The following is a 3,021-nucleotide window of genomic DNA, read 5'->3' as shown; positions in this document are numbered from 1 at the left end:
CTGTCTCTACTTAAAATACAAAACTTAGCTGGGCATGTTGGCAGGTGCCTGTAATCCCAGCTACTTGGGAGGCTGAGGCGGGATAATTGTTTGAACCTGGGAGGCAGAGGTTGCAGTGAGCCAAGATTGCACCACTGCACTCCAGCCTAGGGAACAGAGCAAGACTCCGTCTCAAAAGAAAAAAAAAAAGAAGGAGAGATATTTGGTAAATAACTGAGGCAAAGGTGGAAGAAAATAGTGTTCTACAGGAGGTGAAATAATGTGTGAAGAGAAAATAAAAATTTTAAAGAACTAAAAGAATCAGGTATTGAAGTCAAAGGTGAGAGGGCCACTGAAATTCAAAAATACAATGTGAATAACTACAGAAGATGTCATCATTCCTGATGAGGCAATGAATGTGGGTGCCTAAATTAGAGTAGAAATACATGTTATTGAAGATAAGGAGATCAAAAGGTGTAAGGCCAGGGTGTTGAATGTATTTTGCACAAATGCGCTAACGTTACCCAGAATGTTGGCAGGGGGAAAAACATCTGATGGCCTGTAGCCAGAGTTTTCCTTAAAAACGCAGACGTGTCCTCCTGGAAAACAGACATCTTTGAAAAAATGAAGGAAATTAGGGTCTCACAGCATGACTCTCATGGAGATGGTGAAGGACTGATTTGAGAGCAGCCACGCAGAGTTAGGACAATGCCAGCAACATCTGACCCATGTACATGAAGCTCCAGATAACTTAGGTGATTGCTTTAATGCAAAAGGCCACACAGTGTGAATTCGTGAGAGACTATCTTTTATATTCCAGAGGTTGGAATGGAATAATTCACTCATTTGAAAGGCTTGCTGGATATCCTCTATTTCAGGGCTCTCCAAACCCATACTAGTCCATGGCTGTTAGGAACTGGGCTCCACAGCAGGAGGTGAGTGGCGGCTGAGTGAGCGAAGCTTCATCTGTATTTACAGCTGCTCCTCATGGCTCATGTTACCCCCTGAGCTCCTCCTCCTGTCAGATCAGCAGCAGCGTTAGATTCTCACAGGAGCATGAACCCTATTGTGAACTAAGCATGCAAGGGATCTAGGTTGTGTGCTCCTTATGAGAATCTAATGACTGATGATCTGTCACTGTCTCCCATTGCCCCCAGCTGGGAACATCTAGTTGCAGGAAAACAAGCTCAGGGCTCCCAGGGATTCTACATTATGGTCAGTCGTATAACTATTTCATTATATGTTACAAAGTAATACTAATAGAAATAAAGTGCACAATAAATGTAATGGGCTTGAATCATTCTGAAACCATCCCCACCACCACCAGCTCTGTGAAAAAAATTGTCTTCCACAAAACCAGTCCTTGATGCCAAAAAGGTTGGGGACCACTGCTCTATTTCTCTTCACTGCTTAGAGAATCTGTTCTTCCACTCATGATCTACAAGGATTAAATGTTTCAAACAGTTCAAGTCTTCAAAATATGTTTTTTGTAAACTTGAGTTTTTAGAAATCATTCACAGTATCCATATTATATTTTATTTGCTGCAATGCCCTATACATTTCCCATATAATGCTCTTGAATATACTTTTACAACTTCAGTAACTTTACCCTTTACTGAATCTCAATCTGTCTCTCAATTTCTCTCTCTCAGCAAATCTAAACAAAAGAGAAACATATTGACTTGTGCTATGGTCTAAATGTTTGTGTCTCTAAAATTCATGTGTTGAAACTTAATCTCCAATGCAATAGTATTAAGAGATGAAGGCTTTGGAATGTGACTGGCAGAGCCCTCATGAATGGGATTGGTGCCTTCATAAAAGAGGCCTCCAAAATCTCCCTAGCCCCTTCCACCAAGTAAGGACGCACAGAAGTCACCATCTATGAAGTAGAGAGCAAGCTCTCGCCAGATACCAAATCTGCTGACACTTCAGTCTTAAACTCCCACCCTCCAGAACTGTGAGCAATAAATTTCTGTTTTATAGTTGTCTAAATTATCCTGTCTAAGGTGTTTTTTTATAGTAATGTGAATGGACTAAGACAACTTGAAAATGCAAGGTACCACACCAATAACAAGGAAAATACTCATGTTTTGTAACATTTATTTTATACCAAAGATATGCCAATTACTGTATACAAATATATGCCAAATGTTGGGTAAAATACTTTACATAAATTATATTAATCCTGAAAACAACCTGAAGGTAGATACTGTTGTCTGCATTTAAAGATGAGGACGTGGGGCTTGAATTAAGTAACTTACCTCACATCTCATCATGCTAAATGGCAAAGCTGGGATTCAAACCCTGCTCAGTCGGACTCCCATCAGGCTGCTCTTAGCCTGGTTATATTTTGAAGAAAAGAAGTTCAGAAACTTATCCATAGACATGGCCAGGTAGGGCCAGAGTCCAGACTCAACTGACTCTCAGCCAAGACCAGCCTCAACTCTTCCATTTTACCTCCAGCCTGAACAGCTTAAACATTTTTTCTCTTGCCATCTTATTAGAATACATAATGCCTATAATGATGGGATCCAAATGATATAGCATGACAACACTCTGGTTTAAAAAAGGTGAAATGTAATTTTTTTTTTTAATTTTAAGTTCTGGGATACATGTGCAGGACGTGCAGGTTTGTTACATAGGTAAACGTGTGTCATGGTGGTTTGCTACCCCTATCAACCTATCACCTAGGTTTTAAGGCCCCCATGCACTAGCTATTTATCCTGATGCTCTCCTTCCCCCCAGCCCCCCAGTAGGTCCCAGTGTGTTTTGTTCCCCTCCCTGTGTGCTTGTGTTCTCATTATTCAGCTTCCACTTAGAAGTGAGAACATGCGGTGTTTGGTTTTCTGTTCCTGTGTTAGTTTGCTAAGGACAATGGCTTCCAGCTCCATCTATGTCCCTGCAAAGGATATGATCTTGCTCCTTTCTATGACTGCATAGTATTCCATGGTGTATAGGTACCACATTTTCTTTTTCTAGTCTATCATTGATGGGCATTTGGGTTGATTCCATGTCTGTGCTATTGTGAATAGTGAAGCAAAA

This window comes from Homo sapiens, chromosome 15 (genome assembly GCF_000001405.40).
Source record: "Homo sapiens chromosome 15, GRCh38.p14 Primary Assembly".
Classification (NCBI taxonomy): domain Eukaryota; kingdom Metazoa; phylum Chordata; class Mammalia; order Primates; family Hominidae; genus Homo; species Homo sapiens.
Note: the sequence above shows the minus strand (reverse complement) of the source record.